We start from the raw sequence: 17,772 nt of genomic DNA, 5'->3' as shown, positions 1-17,772 counted from the left end.
GGATGTTGGGTGCTAGTAGGTGGGAAATCCTTAGAATAGTGCCTGGTACAATTATTTGTTTTTATTGTGAGCAAAACGAAACATGCCCCCCGCCCTTTTCTTGTCAAGGGTGTTGGTTTCTCCAGAACAGAAATTTTCTCCAGAACAGAAATGGGACAGTTAACCTAGGTTCCCCCTTCTCCCTCTTGACTCTATACCCCACCTGTGATGGTTAATACTGAATATCAACTTGATTGGATTGAAGGATACAAAGTATTGATCCTGGGTGTGTCTGTGAGAGTGTTGCCAAAGGAAACTAACTTTTGAGTCAGTGGGCTGAGAAAGGCAGAATCACCCTTAACCAACCCTTAATTGTGGGCACAATCTAATCAGCTGCCCATGCAGCTAGACTATAAGGAGGCAGAAAAGTGTGAAAAGAGAGTGGCCTAGCCTTCCAGACTACATCTTCCTCCCAGCCTACATCTTTCTCCCATGCTGGATGCTTCCTGCCCTTGAACATCGGACTCCAAGTTCTCCAGTTTTGGAGGTTGGACTGGCTGTCCTTGCTCCTCAGCCTGCAGACAGCCTATTGTGGGACGTCGGGATCATGTGAGTTAATACTTAATAAACTCCCTTTTATGTATATATGTCTATCCCATTAGTTCTGTCCCTCTAGAGAACCCTGACTAACACACCACCAGTCCTGCTGATCTGCCTTCTGGCTTCTAAACCTTTCTGACCACACACATTAGCACAGGAGGCTCGACCCTCATCTCTTGTCCTCTAGGCTACTGCAGTTGCCTCTGGTCTTGCCTCCTCGTTAGCTCATCCCTCCCCTGCAGCCAAGGGGATCTTTCCATAACATTTCCTTCAGCAGCTCCTCAGCACTTACAGGATAAATCCAGATTCCTCCTCATGGGCCCACGGCACCATGGGATGTGACCTCTGCCTCTCCTGTTGGTTTGGTGCTCATAATTCACACCACCGTAGTATTTTACATTCCCTGCTTCTGGGGTGTAAAACGCTCCCTTTCCCTGCTTTGGCATGCATGCCTTCAGAATCCATCACTTCTGGGAGGCTTCTCCCATCCTCAACCCAGCCCCACCCCTGAATCCCTCCTGTCTCTCCCCTCTCACCACTCTGCATTAGAAATGTCTGTCCACCCTCTGAAGCTCTCTGGGAGGCAGGGACTGTTTCACTTGTTCATGGATCTCCTGAACCAAGCATGGCAAAAACTCAATATAGACTGAATACACTGAATTACATGGAGGAAAAACTGAGGCCACATGTTATGGACTGAATTGTGTCCCCTGTCCCCAAATCATATGTTGAAGTCCTAACTCAGGGTCTCAGAATGTGACTGTATTTGGAGATAGTCCAAATAAAGAGGAGATAAGCTAAAATGAGGCCATTAGGGTAAGCCCTAATCCAGTATGACAGGTGTCCTTATAAGAAGAGGTTTGGACACAGACAGACACAGAGAGAAGCCCATGTAAAGACATAAGGAAAGAGTGTTCAGAAGAAACCAATCCTGCAGACACCTTGTTCTTAGACGTCTAGTCTTCAGAATTATGAGAAAATAAATTTCTGTTGTGTAAGCCACCCCATCTGTGGTACTTTGTTATGGTAGTCTCACAAACTATACATCATATTTCCTTGTCATTTAAATTTAAGCACACCAAGTAATTTAAAAGCTAAAGTAACCTGTATTTCTTTCCAAAACAGTTTGTTTCTGTCATAAAATCCCCCAAAATCTTGATACTGCCGAAGTAATTCAATCGGAGGCTGAGAGCCATAGCGATCCAGTCTGGGCATGTTTAAATCATCAACAAAAATCACAATTCGTTTGTTTCCCGGTGCTCCTAGGGAAATAAAATGAATTTAATTTAAGAATTATGATTTTCCCTTAGAAAATGTAAGACAAAGCTAGGGTATGACTTTGGACTCAATGACATCCTACAGGTCATAAAGAGCTCAGTTCTGAGTCCTGCCTGGAGGAGGAGAGACTTCCTTCTGGCCCCACCCAGGCCCCTGCAGGAAGATGTGGTCCTGGTCAAGACGTCCACGTTGTCATGCCAGGTGGCCCCTTATCCTCACTGTCAGGGCACAAGATGGTGGCCTCTCTCCAGCAAGGAGTGAACCTTTCTCTGTCTCAGCCACACTCACTGCCCTCAGCAACCATGTGGCTTAGGCATGAATGAGGAACATCATTTTCTTTCCATAGTAGGAAGAGGAAGAATGCCAAAGTTTCCTTTCATAAATGTCATCACAGTACCCTCACAGGGAAACCAGATTAGATATTCAAAAGCATCCTGATCACATCAAAGGGAAATCCAGTGCAGTGGGGCTGCACAATGCCACATTTAAATGAATATACACACTCATTAGAAAAAGGAATGAGTGATAGCAGAGGAAAGAGAAACCCGATGGGCAAATAGCCATGTCCTTGTGGTTGGGATTACTACAGGAGGTGATTCCAAGGCAAACTGAGTGCTCCACTCCATCCTGTGGCCCCCTGGAAGCCAAGCAGCAGGAAGGGGTGGGGGGTAAGGAAGGGGTCTAAGATAAACCTTTGTAAGAATTTGGGGCCCCCACCAGAAAATAGACTGGCATCTGTTGCCCTTTGCCTACCTAAGCAGGAGAGAGGGGACAGAGACAGAAGGCAGTGAAGCAGCTGGCAGCACCATTGTTTGGCATGACAGGGCCTGCTGGATGGTGGGCAATGTGGGAGGCAGCCAAGCCTGAGCCCTGGCTGGTGCACCACCCCAGAGACTGTGGACTGAGCAAGTGGGGCCCCAGCTGCAAGAGGGTGCAGATGGACTGCTGGAGAGTGAGGGCTGAGGTCCTGACTCCCACCCTCAGGGAAACTTCCAGTGATAAGGTCAATGCCTGGCTTGCAAACAGCTCTTTTGGGAGTTGCTTACAAGAGCCCACTCCTGAAAACCTGCCTCACAGACAGCATAGACACCACTCAGTGCCAGCTAGAGAAGCAGGGACCAGCCACAGAGAGGCCCATCTGAACACTGGCTAGGGAGAAGAAACTTGTCCTTTCCTTCTTCTCCTCCCATTCCCTGCATACTCCAGCCTCCTACAGGGAGGGTGGGGAGGAGTGAAGAGCATCCCATGACCCCTTCACCTCCCATACGTACCTGGAGCCACAAACCTGGCTTAGGACAGATGAGAGGAGGAACTTTGAATTGGGTATTGGATTGAGGCTTAGACTGGCCCAGACTCCAAATGTCTGAAGGTGACCAGAAAGTTATGCTAGTTATCTAAGCAGTTAATAAGGGAGGGTGGGGAAGCTTCCACAAAACCTGGCTGAAAGTACTGACTGAAGAAAAAACCAAAACAGTCTCATACTTATTCCTCACTGAATTCAGATAACCCAATGTGCCAAATATACAGAGGTTTGTTTATTTTAAATAAGGGGAAATCAGTGCATGTTGGAAGAACCTGGGTGGAGAGAGGGAGAGCCATGGAGAGGCAGAGATTGAAGATGTTCTGAGTTGAAGGTGATGACAGAAATAAATGACTTGCTTGGCAACACTAAGACATCTACATAGCTAGCATAAAAATGCCATGAACAGAATCACCTTTACAAGTAAATTAAGCAAATAAAATATCCAACTGTCATTTTATTACATGCACTATTTATGTCATTTATTAGCTTAATGAATAATTTGTGTGGGACAAACTAAAATAATGATTCTTACCTAGAATATTTTTTCTTTTTCTCTCCAGTTTTGACTCAATGATCTCTTGTGTCCTTGCAGATGAAGTTTGAGCAGAAAAATTTAGATAAACAGGGACATAGCCAGCTGATTCTTGAATTTTATTTAGCAATCCTTTTGCAATCACAGACTTAAATTAAAATAAGTTAATTAATGTCACATGAATATAACCTCTTTCAGTTATATCTGTAATAGTTTGGCACAATGAGTAAGAAACAGGATAAAAAGAGAGAGGTTAAAGCCAGATTGAAATGTCTGCTTTCTCTTACTGGAGATTCCATTTAGTTATATTTTTCAGAACCAAAGAGATATTCTAATCAGCACTATCTTAGCAAAAAGTTTTAATTTAGTTTCATGCCAAAATCCATCTTGGCTACTCTTCAAGCCAATATATGGAAAGAGTCATAGAAAGATCCAAATTTCTTTTAGAATATTTTTTTGGGGAAACGGTGAAGTCCTGTTTACGTGGATTCTCCAAAACCAAGAAGCCCAAATCATCAATATTCCTCCCTCCATTCTACTTTAACAAAAAACCCCAAATAGTCAAGGATACCACTGCTGTATCAGGTATAAGTGAACAGGCCAGAGGGGATGAGCTGATCTCTATCAACTGTCTTTTGGGCATGCAAACTCCTCTGCCCAATTCTTATCCAACCAGTGCAGTGGCAGCCCCCAAAATACCAAGGGATAAAGCATAAAAGCCCCTAAACACAAACGCTGGCCCTCTAATTCATATAGTATCAACTCCAAGAATGTGTTCAGAAACTGGCAAACTTTGGAACAATTCCCAGGATCAATATAGATTCAGCATAATATTCTTCCTGCAAAAGTGCTAAACGCTAAACAAAATTCCTCTCAGAAATAATATTACTTCTGGTGCTAACGATTCTAAGTCCATCATGCCCTCACATTTGGAGAGGACTTCTTGTTTGATGTAAGTTTCCTACCTTGCCCACTCCAGTTATTCCAGTAAACAACACGGAATGCTTGACTGCCAGTAGTTTTTCCATTAGATACCCATAGCGCACTGTGTCAGTTGTGGGGACAAGCATTTCAAAAAATGGAACATCTCGGTTGTATTTGAAAGTAGGTATGATTCGTTCCCAGGGATCCAGCCGTTTGGTGTCAAAGTCCATATGAATGCTCCACAGATCACCAGAATTGGGAAGCTAAAGTACAAAATTAAACACCACTTTCAATAGGGAATAAGCAATATTGACACACAGTAGTAGATACACTCACATAGAAAAAAAGGCAGTCAAAAAACCTAACTGGATTTGGATTTCTTTTTCCTTTGTAGATACATAGTTATTTAGGTATCTGAGACTAGTTATTTAAACAAAATCATGCAACACAATGCATGGAAATATCTGTTATACCGATTATATTAAAACCCATGTCAGAATTGTATAGCTTTTTAATTAAATTTAACATTCACAGGGCTTACGCCATGCCAAATACTGTCTGTGATGCTGAGGACAAGTGCTGAATGAGACCCAGCCTCTGTCTTCAATGACCTGGTAATCCCCCTGAGGGACATAAGCACTTCAGTTAATACCCATGGGGAAATAAGGGCTCTAAAGGAGTTTATTACAATCATACACACACACACACACACACACACACACACACACACACACACACACAGAGGGATGGCTCATTTCTACTTGCAGGGGAGTTATGGTGATGGCTAGAGATTCAGGAAGGCTTCCATGGGTGGTAATGCTAAAACTCAGACTTGAAGAACACGCTGGAGTCAGATGGGCAAAAAAGGGATGGCATGGGGTGGGAAAGAAGGGGTTCAGGATTCAGACTGAAAAAACAGGATTAGAAGTCTGATGCCATGGAAAATATGGTGTATGCTGGGAAGCATGAGAGCGCTGCATACAGTGAGATGAGGCTGGAAATACAGATGGATCAAATTATCAAAAGCTTTACTTATTAAAAATCTTAGAGCAACAGTCCAGTGAGGGATTCTAAGCAGGTAGGTAACATAATCAGACTGCATTTCAGAAGTTTCATCCTGGCAGCTGTACAGAGCAATATTGCTCCAAGGTCATTTGACAGTGACTTTTAGTAAGAAATTCATTTTTCATTGTGACTCTGTAAATACATACATATGTGTATCTACAAACATGTAAAATATTTACCTCTACTATGTGCAATTCACTCTACTTTCTTTTTTTATTGTTATCCAGAATCAAAGTTTTTTTTTATTATTATACTTTAAGTTCTAGGGTACATGTGCACAACGTGCAAGTTTATTACGTATGTATACATGTGCCATGTTGGTGCCCTGCACCTGTTAACTCATCACTTACATTAGGTATTTCTCCTAATGCTATCCCTCCCACCTCCCCCCGCCCCACGACAGGCCGTGGTGTGTGATGTTCCCCACCCTGTGTCCAAGTGTTCTCATTGTTCAATTCCCACCTATGAATGAGAACAATGTGGTGTTTGGTTTTCTGTCCTTGCGATAGTTTGCTCAGAATGATGGTTTCTAGCTTCATCCATGTCCCTACAAAGGACATGAACTCATCCCTTTTTATGGCTGCATAATATTCCATGGTGTATATGTGCCACATTTTCTTAATCCAGTCTATCATTGATGGACATTTGGGTTGGTTCCAAGTCTTTGCTATTGTAAATAGTGCCGCAATAAACATACTTGTGCATGTGTCTTTATAGCAGTAGAGTTTATAATCTTTGGGTATATACCCAGTAATGGGATGGCTGGGTCAAACGGTATTTCTAGTTCTAGATCCTTGAGGAATCGCCACACTGTCTTCCACAATGGTTGAACTAGTTTACAGTCCCACCAACAGTGTAAAAGTGTTCCTATTTCTCCACATCCTTTCCAGCACCTGCTGTTTCCTGATTGACATTCTAACTGGTGTGAGATGGTATCTCATTGTGGTTTTGATTTGCATTTGTCTGATGGCCAGTGATGATGACCATTTTTTCATGTGTCTGTTGGCTGCATAAATGTCTTCTTTTGAGAAGTATCTGTTCACATCCTTCGCCCACTTTTTGATGTGGTTGTTTGATTTTTTTTCTTGTAAATTTGTTTAAGTTTTTTATAGATTCTGGATATTAGCCCTTTGTCAGATGGGTAGATTGTAAAAATTTTCTCCCATTCTGTAGGTTGCCTGTTCACACTGATGGTAGTTTCTTTTGCTGTGCAGAAGCTCTTTAGTTTAATTAGATCCCATTTGTCAATTTTGGCTTTTGTTGCCATTGCTTTTGGTGTTTTAGACATGAAGTCCTTGCCCATGCCTATGTCCTGAATGGTATTGCCTAGGTTTTCTTCTAGGGTTTTTATGGTTTTAGGTCTAACATTTAAGTCTTTAATCCATCTTGAAATTAATTTTTGTATAAGGTGTAAGGAAGGGATCCAATTTCAGCTTTCTACATATGGCTAGCCAGTTTTCCCAGCACCATTTATTAAATAGGGAATTGTTTCCCCATTTCTTGTTTTTCAGGTTTGTCAAAGATCAGATGGTTGTAGAAGTGTGGTATTATTTCTGAGGGCTCTGTTCGGTTCCGTTGGTCTATATCTCTGTTTTGGTACCAGTATCATGCTGTTTTGGTTACTGTAGCCTTGTAGTATAGTTTGAAGTCAGGTAGCATGGTGCCTCCAGCTTTGTTCCTTTGGCTTAGGATTGTCTTGGCAATGTGGGCTCTTTTTTGGTTCCATATGAACTTTAAAGTAGTTTCTTCCACTTCTGTGAAGAAAGTCATTGGTAGCTTGATGGGGATGGCATTGAATCTATAAATTACCTTGGGCAGTATGGCCATTTTCACAATATTGATTATTCCTATCCATGAGCATGGAATGTTCTTCCATTTGTGTCATCTTTTATTTTGTTGAGCAGTGATTTGTAGTTCTCCTTGAAGAGGTCCTTCACATTCCTTGTAAGTTGGATTCCTAGGTATTTTATTCTCTTTGAAGCAATTGTGAATGGGAGCTCACGCATGATTTGGCTCTCTGTTTGTCTCTTATTGGTGTATAGGAATGCTTGTGATTTTAGCACATTGATTTTGTATCCTGAGACTTTGCTGAAGTTGCTTATCAGCTTCTTCAGATTTTGGGCTGAGACGATGGGATTTTCTAAATATACAATCATGTCATCTGCAAACAGGGACAATTTGACTTCCTCTTTTCCTAATTGAATACCCTTTATTTCTTTCTCCTGACTGATTGCCCTGGCCAGAACTTCCAACACTATGTTGAATAGGAGTGGTGAGAGAGGGCAACCCTGTCTTGTGCCAGTTTTCAAAGGGAATGCTTCCAGTTTCTGCCCCTTTGATATGATATTGGCTGTGGGTTTGTCATAAATAGCTGTTACTATTTTGAGATACAGCTCATCAATATCTAGTTTATTGAGAGTTTTTAGCATGAAGAGCTGTTGAATTTCGTTGAAGGCCTTTTCTGCATCTATTGAGATAATCATGTGGTTTTTGTCACTGGTTCTGTTTATATGATGCATTACGTTTATTGATTTGTGTATGCTGAACCAGCCGTGCATCCCAGGGATGAAGCCCACTTGATCGTGGTGGATAAGCTTTTTGATGTGCTGCTGGATTCGGTTTGCCAGCATTTTATTGAGGATTTTTGCATCAGTGTTCATCAGGGATATTGGTCTAAAATTCTCTTTTTTTGTGTGTGTCTCTGCCAGGCTTTGGTGTCAGGATGATGCTGGCTTTATAAAATGAGTTAGGGAGGATTCCCTCTTTTTCTATTGATTGGAATAGTTTCAGAAGGAATGGTACCAGCTCCTCTTTGTAGCTCTGGTAGAATTCAGCTGTGAATCCGTCTGGTCCTGGACTTTTTTTCGTTGGTAGGCTATTAATTATTGCCTCAATTTCAGAGCCTGTTTTTGGTCTATTCAGGGATTCAACTTCTTCCTGGTTTAGTCTTGGGAGGGTGTATGTGTCCAGGAATTTATCCATTTCTTCTAGATCTTCTAGTTTATTTGTGTAGAGGTGTTTATAGTATTCTCTGATCGTAGTTTGTATTTCTGTGGGATTGGTGGTGATATCCACTTTATCATTTTTTATTGCATCTATTTGATTCTTCTCTCTTTCCTTCTTTATTAGTCTTGCTAGTGGTCTATCAATTTTGTTGATCTTTTAAAAAAACCAGCTCCTGGATTCATTGATTTTTTTGAAGGGTTTTTTGTGTCTCTCTCTCCTTCAGTTCTGCTCTGATCTTAGTTATTTCTTGCCTTCTGCTAGCTTTTGAATGTGTTTGCTCTTGCTTCTCTAGTTCTTTTAATTGTGATGCTAGGGTGTCAATTTTAGATCTTTCCTGCTTTCTCTTGTGGGCATTTAGTGCTATAAATTTCCCTCTACACACTGCTTTAAATGTGTCCCAGAGATTCTGGTATGTTGTGTCTTTGTTCTCATTGGTTTCAAAGAACATCTTTACTTCTGCCTTCATTTCATTATGTACCCAGTAGTCATTCAGGAGCAGGTTGTTCAGTTTCCATGTAGTTGAGCGGTCTTGAGTGAGTTTCTTAATCCTGAGCTCTAGTTTGATTGCACCGTGGTCTGAGAGACAGTTTGTTACAATTTCTGTTCTTTTACATTTGTTGAGGAGTGCTTTACTTCCACCTATGTGGCCAATTTTGGAATAAGTGCGATGTGGTGCTGAGAAGAATGTATATTCTGTTGATTTGGGGTGGAGAGTTCTGTAGATGTCTATTAGGTCTGCTTGGTGCAGAGCTGAGTTCAATTCCTGGATATCCTTGTTAACTTTCTATCTTGTTGATCTGTTTAATGTTGACAGTGGGGTGTTAAAATCTCCCATTATTATTGTGTGGGAGTCTAAGTCTCTTTGTAGGTCTCTAAGGACTTGCTTTATGAATCTGGGTGCTCCTGTATTGGGTGCATATATTTAGGATAGTTAGCTCTTCTTGTTGAATTGATCCCTTTACTATTATGTAATGGGCTTCTTTGTCTCTTTTGATCTTTGTTGGTTTAAAGTCTGTTTTATCAGAGACTAAGATTGCAACCCCTGCTTTTTTTTTGTTTTCTATTTGCTTGGTAGATCTTCCTGCATCTCTTTATTTTGAGCCTATGTGTGTCTTTGCACGTGAGATGGGTCTCCTGAATACAGCACACCGATGGGTCTTGACTCTTTATCCAATTTGCCAGTCTGTGTCTTTTAATTGGAGCATTTAGCCCATTTACATTTAACGTTAATATTGTTATGTGTGAATTTGACCCTGTCATTATGATGTTAGCTGGTTATTTTGCTCGTTAGTTGATGCAGTTTCTTCCTAGCCTCGATGATGTTTACTATTTGGCATGTTTTTGCAGTGGCTGGTACCGGTTATTCCTTTCCATGTTTAGTGCTTCCTTCAGGAGCTCTTGCAAGGCTGGCCTGGTGGTGACAAAATCTCTCAGTATTTGCTTGTCTGTAAAGGATTTTTATTTCTCTTTCACTTATGAAGCTCAGTTTGGCTGGATATGAAATTCTGGGTTGAAAATTGCTTTCTTTAAGAATGTTGAATATTGGCCACCACTCTCTTTTGGCTTTTAGAGTTTCTGATGAGAGATCAGCTGTTAGTCTGATGGGCTTCCCTTTGTGGGTAACCCGACCTTTCTCTCTAGCTGCCCTTAATATTTTTTCCTTTATTTTAACTTTGGTGAATCTGACAATTGTGTGTCTTGGAGTTGCTCTTCACAAGGAGTATCTTTGTGGCGTTCTCTGTATTTCCTGAATCTGAATGTTGGCCTGTCTTGCTAGGTTGGGGAAGTTCTCCTGGATAATATCCTGCAGAGTGTTTTCCAACTTGGTTCCATTCTCCCCGTCACTTTCAGGTACACCAATCAGACGTAGATTTGGTCTTTTCACACAGTCCCATATATCTTGGAGGCTTTGTTCATTTCTTTTTACTCTTTTTTCTCTAAACTTCTCTTCTCACTTCATTTCATTCATTTGATCTTCAATCTCTGATACCCTTTCTTCCAATTGATAGAATCGGCTGCTGAAGCTTGTGCATGTGTCACGTAGTTCTCGTGCCATGGTTTTCAGCTCCATCAGGTCATTTAAGGTCTTCTTCATGCTGTTTATTCTAGTCAGTCATTTGTCTAATCTTTTTTGTCAAGGTTTTTAGATTCTTTGTGATGGGTTTGAACATCCTCCTTTAGCTCGGAGGAGTTTGTTATTACTGATCGTCTGAGGCCTTCTTCTCTCAACTCGTCAAAGTCATTCTCCATCCAGATTTCTTCCATTGCTGGCGAGGAGCTGTGTTCCTTTGGAGGAGAAGAGGTGCTCTGATTTTTAGAATTTTCAGCTTTTCTGCTCTGGTTTCTCCCCATCTTTGTGGTTTTATCTACCTTTGGTCTTTGATGATGGTGTCGTACAGATGGGGTTTTGGTGTGGATGTCCTTTCTGTTTGTTAGTTTTCCTTCTAACAGTCAGGACCCTCAGCCGAAGGTCTGTTGGAATTTGCTGGAGGTCCACTCCAGACCCTGTTTGCCTGGGTATCACCAGCAGAGGCTGCAGAACAGCAAATATTGCTGCCTGATCCTTCCTCTGGAAGCTTTGTCTCAGAGGGGCACCCAGCTGTATGAGCTGTCAGTCGGCCCCTACTGGGAGATATCTCCCAGTTAGGCTATTCAGGGTTCAAGGACCCACTTAAGGAAGCAGTCTGTCTGCTGTCAGATCTCAAAACTCCATGCTGGGAGAACCACTACTCTCTTCAAAGCTGTCAGACAGGGACGTTTAAGTCTGCAGAAGTTTCTGCTGCCTTTTGTTCAGCTATGCCCTGCCCCCAGAGGTGGAGTCTACAGAGGCAGGTAGGCCTCCTTGAGCTGTGGTGGGCTCCACCCAGTTTGAGCTTTCTGGCCACTTTGTTTACCTACTCAAGCCTCAGCAATGGTGGGCACCCCTCCCCCAGCCTTGCTGCTGCCTTGCAGTTCGATCTCAGACTGCTGTGCTAGCAGTGAGTGAGGATCTGTGGGCGTGGGACCCTCTGAGCCATGTGCAGGATATAATCTCCTGGTGTGCCGTTTTCTAAGACCGTTGGAAAAGCACAGTATTAGGGTGGGAGTGTCCCGATTTTCCAGGTACTGCCTGTCACGGCTTCCCTTGGCTAGGAAAGGGAATTACCCAACCCCTTGTGCTTCCTGGGTGAGGTGATGCCCCACCCTGCTCCATGGGGTGCAGCCACTGTCCGACAAGCCCCAGTGAGATGAACCTGGTACCTCAGTTGGAAATGCAGAAATCAACCATCTTCTGCATTGCTCATGCTGGGAGCTGTAGACTGGAGCTGTTCCTATTTGGCCATCTTGGAACCTCCTCAATTCACTCTACTTTCTGTTCTATTTTTTTTTTAAACCTCAAGGTATAACATAACCTTTTTTGTCAAATTTTAAGAGTCCATTTTAGAGAGTTTCATATATGTAAATATCAATATAACCACCCTAGATTAAAATATAGAACATGTACAGCACCTCAGAAGGGTTCTTTCTTCCACTTCTTTGTCAATACTAGTTTGTCTATTTGATATCCTTTCACCAATGCCACACTCTGAATTGCTGCTGTTTTATTGTCTTGAATTATTCAAGTCATGTAGTTAAGTCCTCCAAATGTGTGTTCCTTCAAGATTATCTCAGTTATAGATCTTTTACATTTTTATATAAATTTTAGAATGAGATTGTCAGATTTCATGGAAAAAATCTGTTGGGATTTTGGGATTGAAGTTGCCTAAAATCTTCAAAATATTTTGGAAAGAACTGATAACTTAATAATAGTATCTCAATCCATGAACATAGTATATCTCTCCATTTATACAGATGTTTTAAAATTTCTCTCAACAATGTTTTGTAATTTTCAGTAGAGGCCTTTCACATCATTCATTACTTTTATTCCTAAGTAGTTGGTATTTTGTTGCTTATATAAATGGTATTCTTTCAAATTTTCATTTGTTAACTCTTTGTGGACCTTATATCCAAGGGCCTTACTAATGTACTTATTAATTGTAATCATTTGTTTGTAGATTTTTTAGGTATTTCTACATATTCAGTCATTTTTTTCTGCAAATAATGACTATTTTACTTCTTCCTTTCCAAAGTTTGTATGTCTTATTTCTTTTTCTTGCCTTATTGCACTGGCTAGACTCTCCAATATAGTGTTTACTAAAAGTTGTAATAGAGGATATTTCCTTTTTAAAAACTGGGTTGTGACCCTTTCACTTGATTTCATGACCAGTTAATAGACTGTGACCTTTAATTTTAAGATTACTAGTAGAGAGGGTGAATTAGATATGACTCTAGCAAAAGGAACAATAAATAGGCTATTTTAATAGCCCATGAAAGAAATGATAAGAACCTGGGTTATCCAAAGGCAGCAAGGATGAAGACAAAAGGACATATTAAAAAAATACTTAGGTGATAAAATTTATTGAATACTGACATATTATTATTTAATTTACATTCTATATTCAAATATTGCCATTTTTTCCAATAATATAATTTATAGCTATATTTTTCCAAGTCTAAGATCCATTCCAGGATCATACATTGCATTTAATTATCTCTCTTTAGTCTTGTTTTATTCAGAGAAGTCTCTCAACTTTGTCTCTTATGACATAGATATATTTGAAGAATATAGTCCAGTTTATTTTATAAAATATTCATTGGTTTGGGTTTTCCAGGTGTAACCTCATGATTAGAATCGAGTTATACATTTTTGAAATAAATATCACAGAAGCAAGATTATATCTTTCACAGTGCCCCATATCAGGAAGCAGGCACAGGTTTGCCTTGATGCTAGTTAAATTAAATTGATCATGTAGCTAAGGTGCTGTTTGCAAGTTTTTTTTTTAAGTAAATACTTAGAAACTATGTAAATACTGCTTATCATGAAACCTCTACCCACTAATTTTAGTATTCATTGATGATTCCTGCCTAAATCAATTATTACAATAATGGTTGCAAGGTGATGACTTTCTAACTTTATCCATTATTCCTTCTGCATAGGTTAGTTGGTATTAGCCATAAGAAAGAGTTTTTCTTTCTTCTCTACTTATTTACATAGTCATGCATATTTTTATTATGAGTATGGACTTACAGATTTTTATTTTACTAAAAGGGTTATGATCCTATACTATGATTATTGATTTTGATGCTTAAATCTATCCATTTTTGACCAGTGGAAGTCTCTTCAAACTGCCTTCTGTGTTCTTTTGACATGTCACATCATTCTTTGAGCACTTTTTTACTATGCAACATAAAATAGTTGTTTTGTATTTTCCCTGATCCAGTCTTGAAATCAACTATTTTACTAAGAATTTCTCATTTTCTTTAGTGGAGGATGACAATAGTATTTAAAAATAAGTATACTAGATATGCTCATTGCTGCTATCAAGGTGTCTTTGTGTCTAGTTCTTTTCAGCACATGGACTGGAAAATTTACATGTATGTATACACACATCAATTTTCATACATTTACTTATTTATTTAAAGACACAGTCTTGCTCTGTTGCCCAGGCCAGAGTGCAGTGGTAAGATCATAGCTCAGTGCAGCCTGAAATTCCTGGGCTCAAGAAATCCTCTTGCCTCAGCCTCCTACGTAGCTAGAACTACAGGTGTGCAATATTGAGCTTGGATACTAAAAAAATTTTTTGTAGAGACAGAGTCTTGCTATATTGCACAGGCTGGTCTCAAACTCCTGGCCTCAAGTGACCCTCTTGCCTAGCCTCCCAAAATGCTGGGATTACAGGTGTAAGCCATGTGCCCAGGCAATTTTCATACATTTACATGTATGTTAACATTTTGAATATCAATGAGTACTGAGACCTGCAATACCAATCCAATAAAACAGAGTGCATTCTAATTTTTCTCCTTCCATACATATTTGTAAATCCCTTCTCTAACAGTGAGAAATTCATTGCCATTATTCTCAACATATTTACTTATTTAGTCAATCTTAGAATATATAGCAAGTACATTCCAGCAATTCAGGATAGCTAACCAATCACACTGTTACTTTCACACTGTGAAAAATAAATTTACTAACTAGAATTCAATATTTGTTTACAGTAGAGAGTTTTTATATACTTATACATCTTACTTTTTTAATATGACTGGGAGAGGGCTCCTAACTTAAAAAATATGATAAATGTTGTCTATGGTTGGAAAAACATGAATAATTTTAGGAACCAGTTTAGTGTATAAGTTATATTTTCAATAGAACTAAAGCTTTTAAAGTTTTAATCTTAAAATTTAAATAATTCAGAATTATTATGTTAAAATATAATTTATTTGGTTCTTACCCTGGCATCAGGATTATCATCAAATTGTGTTCTAATAAATGTATCAAAAGAATCATAGTAGTTTTCAGTTAGGTTTCCACCCAAAGACCACAAATAACAGAATACAAAAGTCTGACATAGTATAGTGTTCAATTTTGTTTGTTCCTGAAAGAATAAAGAGAAACAGACTTAATATTTTATATATGAACATAAAAAGAATCCTAAGCTGCAAAGTGTAAAGATATTTTTCTTTCATTTAGACTCACACATTTTTAAATGGGCACAGTGTATATTTCTTATACTTCACTCAATGGTTCACAGAGTAGTGTTTTCTTATAGTTATACATTATAACCACTGATGAGAAAATGAATGAGAAGGAATATGTAGGGAAAAAAAGTCCAAGTTTGTCTTTCAACTGATTATTATAACTTTTTAAATGCCTGCATGAGGGTATGTAAGCAGATTGAGAATATCTTGTATTGGGAATATGTTGTAGACTGTAAGAGAATTCAAAACTGAGTAGAGGAATAAACTATACATGCTAACATTACTTGTAGCTTTGAGATTCTAAGAATGACATCATAGCTATTAGTCCCCTGAAAAATTAACTTAAAAATCAAATGGTTATATTTTAGAATGGAGTCATTTCTTTGCAAAGAACTTATACAATAATCTAATTTTTCTAGCTTCATAGCAATAAGAAAACTCTTCATACCATTGCCAAGTTAACTCCATCTTTCCCAAGTATCAAGGACTCCAATAAGCAACAGAGTGTAGTAACTTTGCTGATGTCCACTTGTGGAATTGCTTGGCTGCACTTTTTATTGATAAAATGTAAACCTTCATCAACATAACGTTGGAAAAGATTCAATATATATTCTTGGGTTTCCTCAGTCAGCTGAAAATGAAACAAATGATAGTTTAGCAAGACCTGATAAATATATAATTAAGTTTAGAATTAGGTTGGTTAAAATCTGGATATTTCTATATATTCAGTGACCTTTAGACCAAAGGCTATAACTATCACAACATATTAAACAAATTAAATTTTAAGGAAACCTTTTATGACTGGGAAGGGATACATGGGGGAAATTATGGGTAGTTGATGGTGTTCTATTTCTTGGTCTGGCAATGGGTTCAGAGGTGTTAATTTCATAATTATTTCTTAAGCTGTCAATACATATTTCATGCACTCTTCTATACTGATGTTCTTTCACAATTATTAACAATGAAAAAGAAGAAACACAGAAGACAACATTTTAGTATCTATGTAAGGTAGAAAAATAATTTCCAAATATTTAAAAGTGAATTCAGCCCCTCTCACTACTCTTATTCAACTTTGTCCTGAAGTCTTAGCTAATGCAATAGGACAATAAAAGGAAATAAAAGGTATACAGATTGGGAAGGAAGAAGTAAAACTGTCTTTGTTTACAAATAACATAATTGTCTATGTAGAAAATCTACCTAAATTGACAAAACAAAACAAATAAAACTGGAACTCATAGGTAATTATAGCAAAGTTGCAGGATATGAGGTTAACATATACAAGTCAATCATTTTGTTATACACCAGCAAGGAGCAATTGGAATTTGAAATTAAAAATATAACACAATTTACATTAGTGCCAAAATAAATTAACTATAAATATGTACTAGATCTATATAAGACAAGCTATAATACTCTGATGAAAGAAGCTAAAGAACTACTAAATAAATGGAGAGAAATACCACATTCATGGATAGGAAGACTAAATAGTCTTAAGATGTCAATTTCTCTGATGTTATCTATAAATTCAACACAATCTCAGTTAAAATTCCAGCAAGTTACTTTGTGGATTAATTGACAAACTGATTCTAAAGTTTATATGGAAAGGCAAAAAACCCAGAATAACCAACACAACAAAAAAGAACAAAGTTGAAAAACTGACACTACCCAACTTCAAGACTTACTATACAGCTGCAGTAATCAAGACAGTGGGTTATTGTTGAAAGAATGGACAAGTAGATCAATGGAACAGAATGGAGAGCACAGAAATAGACCTGCATAAGTACAGTCAATTGATTTTTAACGAAAAAGCAAAGGCAATCTGATGGAGAAAGGACAGTCTTTTCAAAAAATGGTGCTGGAACAACTGGATATACACATGCAAAAAAACAAATCTAGACACAGACCTTATACCCTTCCTAAAAATTAACTGAAAATGGATTATAAATGTAAAGCAAAAAATATACAGTTTTTAGAAGATAACAGGAGAAAATCTACATGACTTTGGGCTTGGTGATGACTTTTTAGGTATGACACCAAAGGCACCATCCATGAGGGAAAAAACTGGTAAGTTGAATTTCATTAAAATTAACTTCTACTCTGTGAAACACACTGTTAAGAGAATAGAAGATGAAATATTTATACAATCTGAAGAGAAACCGGAGTATTGTTAAGAAAATAAAAAGACAAGCCATAGACTAGGAGAAAATATTTGCAAAAGATATAATCTGATAAAGAATTGAATTCAAAATATATAAAGAACTCTTAAAATTCAACAATAAGAAAACAAACAACCCAATTTCAAAATGGGCCAAAGACCTTCCTTAATAGGCACCTCATGAAATACGATACATAGATAGCAAACAAACATATGAAAAGATGCTCAAACCATTTGTCATTAGAAATTGCAAATTAAAACAATATACTACTACGTGCCCATTAGAATGCATAAAATCCAAAACACTGACAATGCCAAATGCTGGCAAGGATGTGAACAACAGGAATTCTCATTCATTATTGGTGGGAATGC

At 38.7% G+C, this 17,772-nt stretch overlaps 1 protein-coding gene across 14 annotated transcripts in view; it reads right to left on the bottom strand.

Annotated features, from left to right (window-relative positions):
• Nucleotides 1–17,772, bottom strand: part of DNAH6 (dynein axonemal heavy chain 6) — a 360,018-nt gene that overhangs the window by 145,422 nt on the left and 196,824 nt on the right. For all 14 annotated transcript variants that reach the window (XM_011532650.4, XM_011532649.3, XM_006711956.3 and 11 more), the window contains 5 exons: nucleotides 15,694–15,876; nucleotides 14,999–15,142; nucleotides 4,658–4,879; nucleotides 3,693–3,840; nucleotides 1,684–1,841 (listed from right to left, as the gene is read on the bottom strand). In XM_011532650.4, coding sequence (XP_011530952.1) covers nucleotides 1,684–1,841; nucleotides 3,693–3,840; nucleotides 4,658–4,879; nucleotides 14,999–15,142; nucleotides 15,694–15,876 — 855 coding nt within the window. The remainder of the gene's footprint in view (nucleotides 1–1,683; nucleotides 1,842–3,692; nucleotides 3,841–4,657; nucleotides 4,880–14,998; nucleotides 15,143–15,693; nucleotides 15,877–17,772) is intronic.

This window comes from Homo sapiens, chromosome 2 (assembly GCF_000001405.40).
Source record: "Homo sapiens chromosome 2, GRCh38.p14 Primary Assembly".
NCBI classification, from domain to species: domain Eukaryota; kingdom Metazoa; phylum Chordata; class Mammalia; order Primates; family Hominidae; genus Homo; species Homo sapiens.
This window is presented reverse-complemented; position numbering and strand designations above follow the sequence as displayed.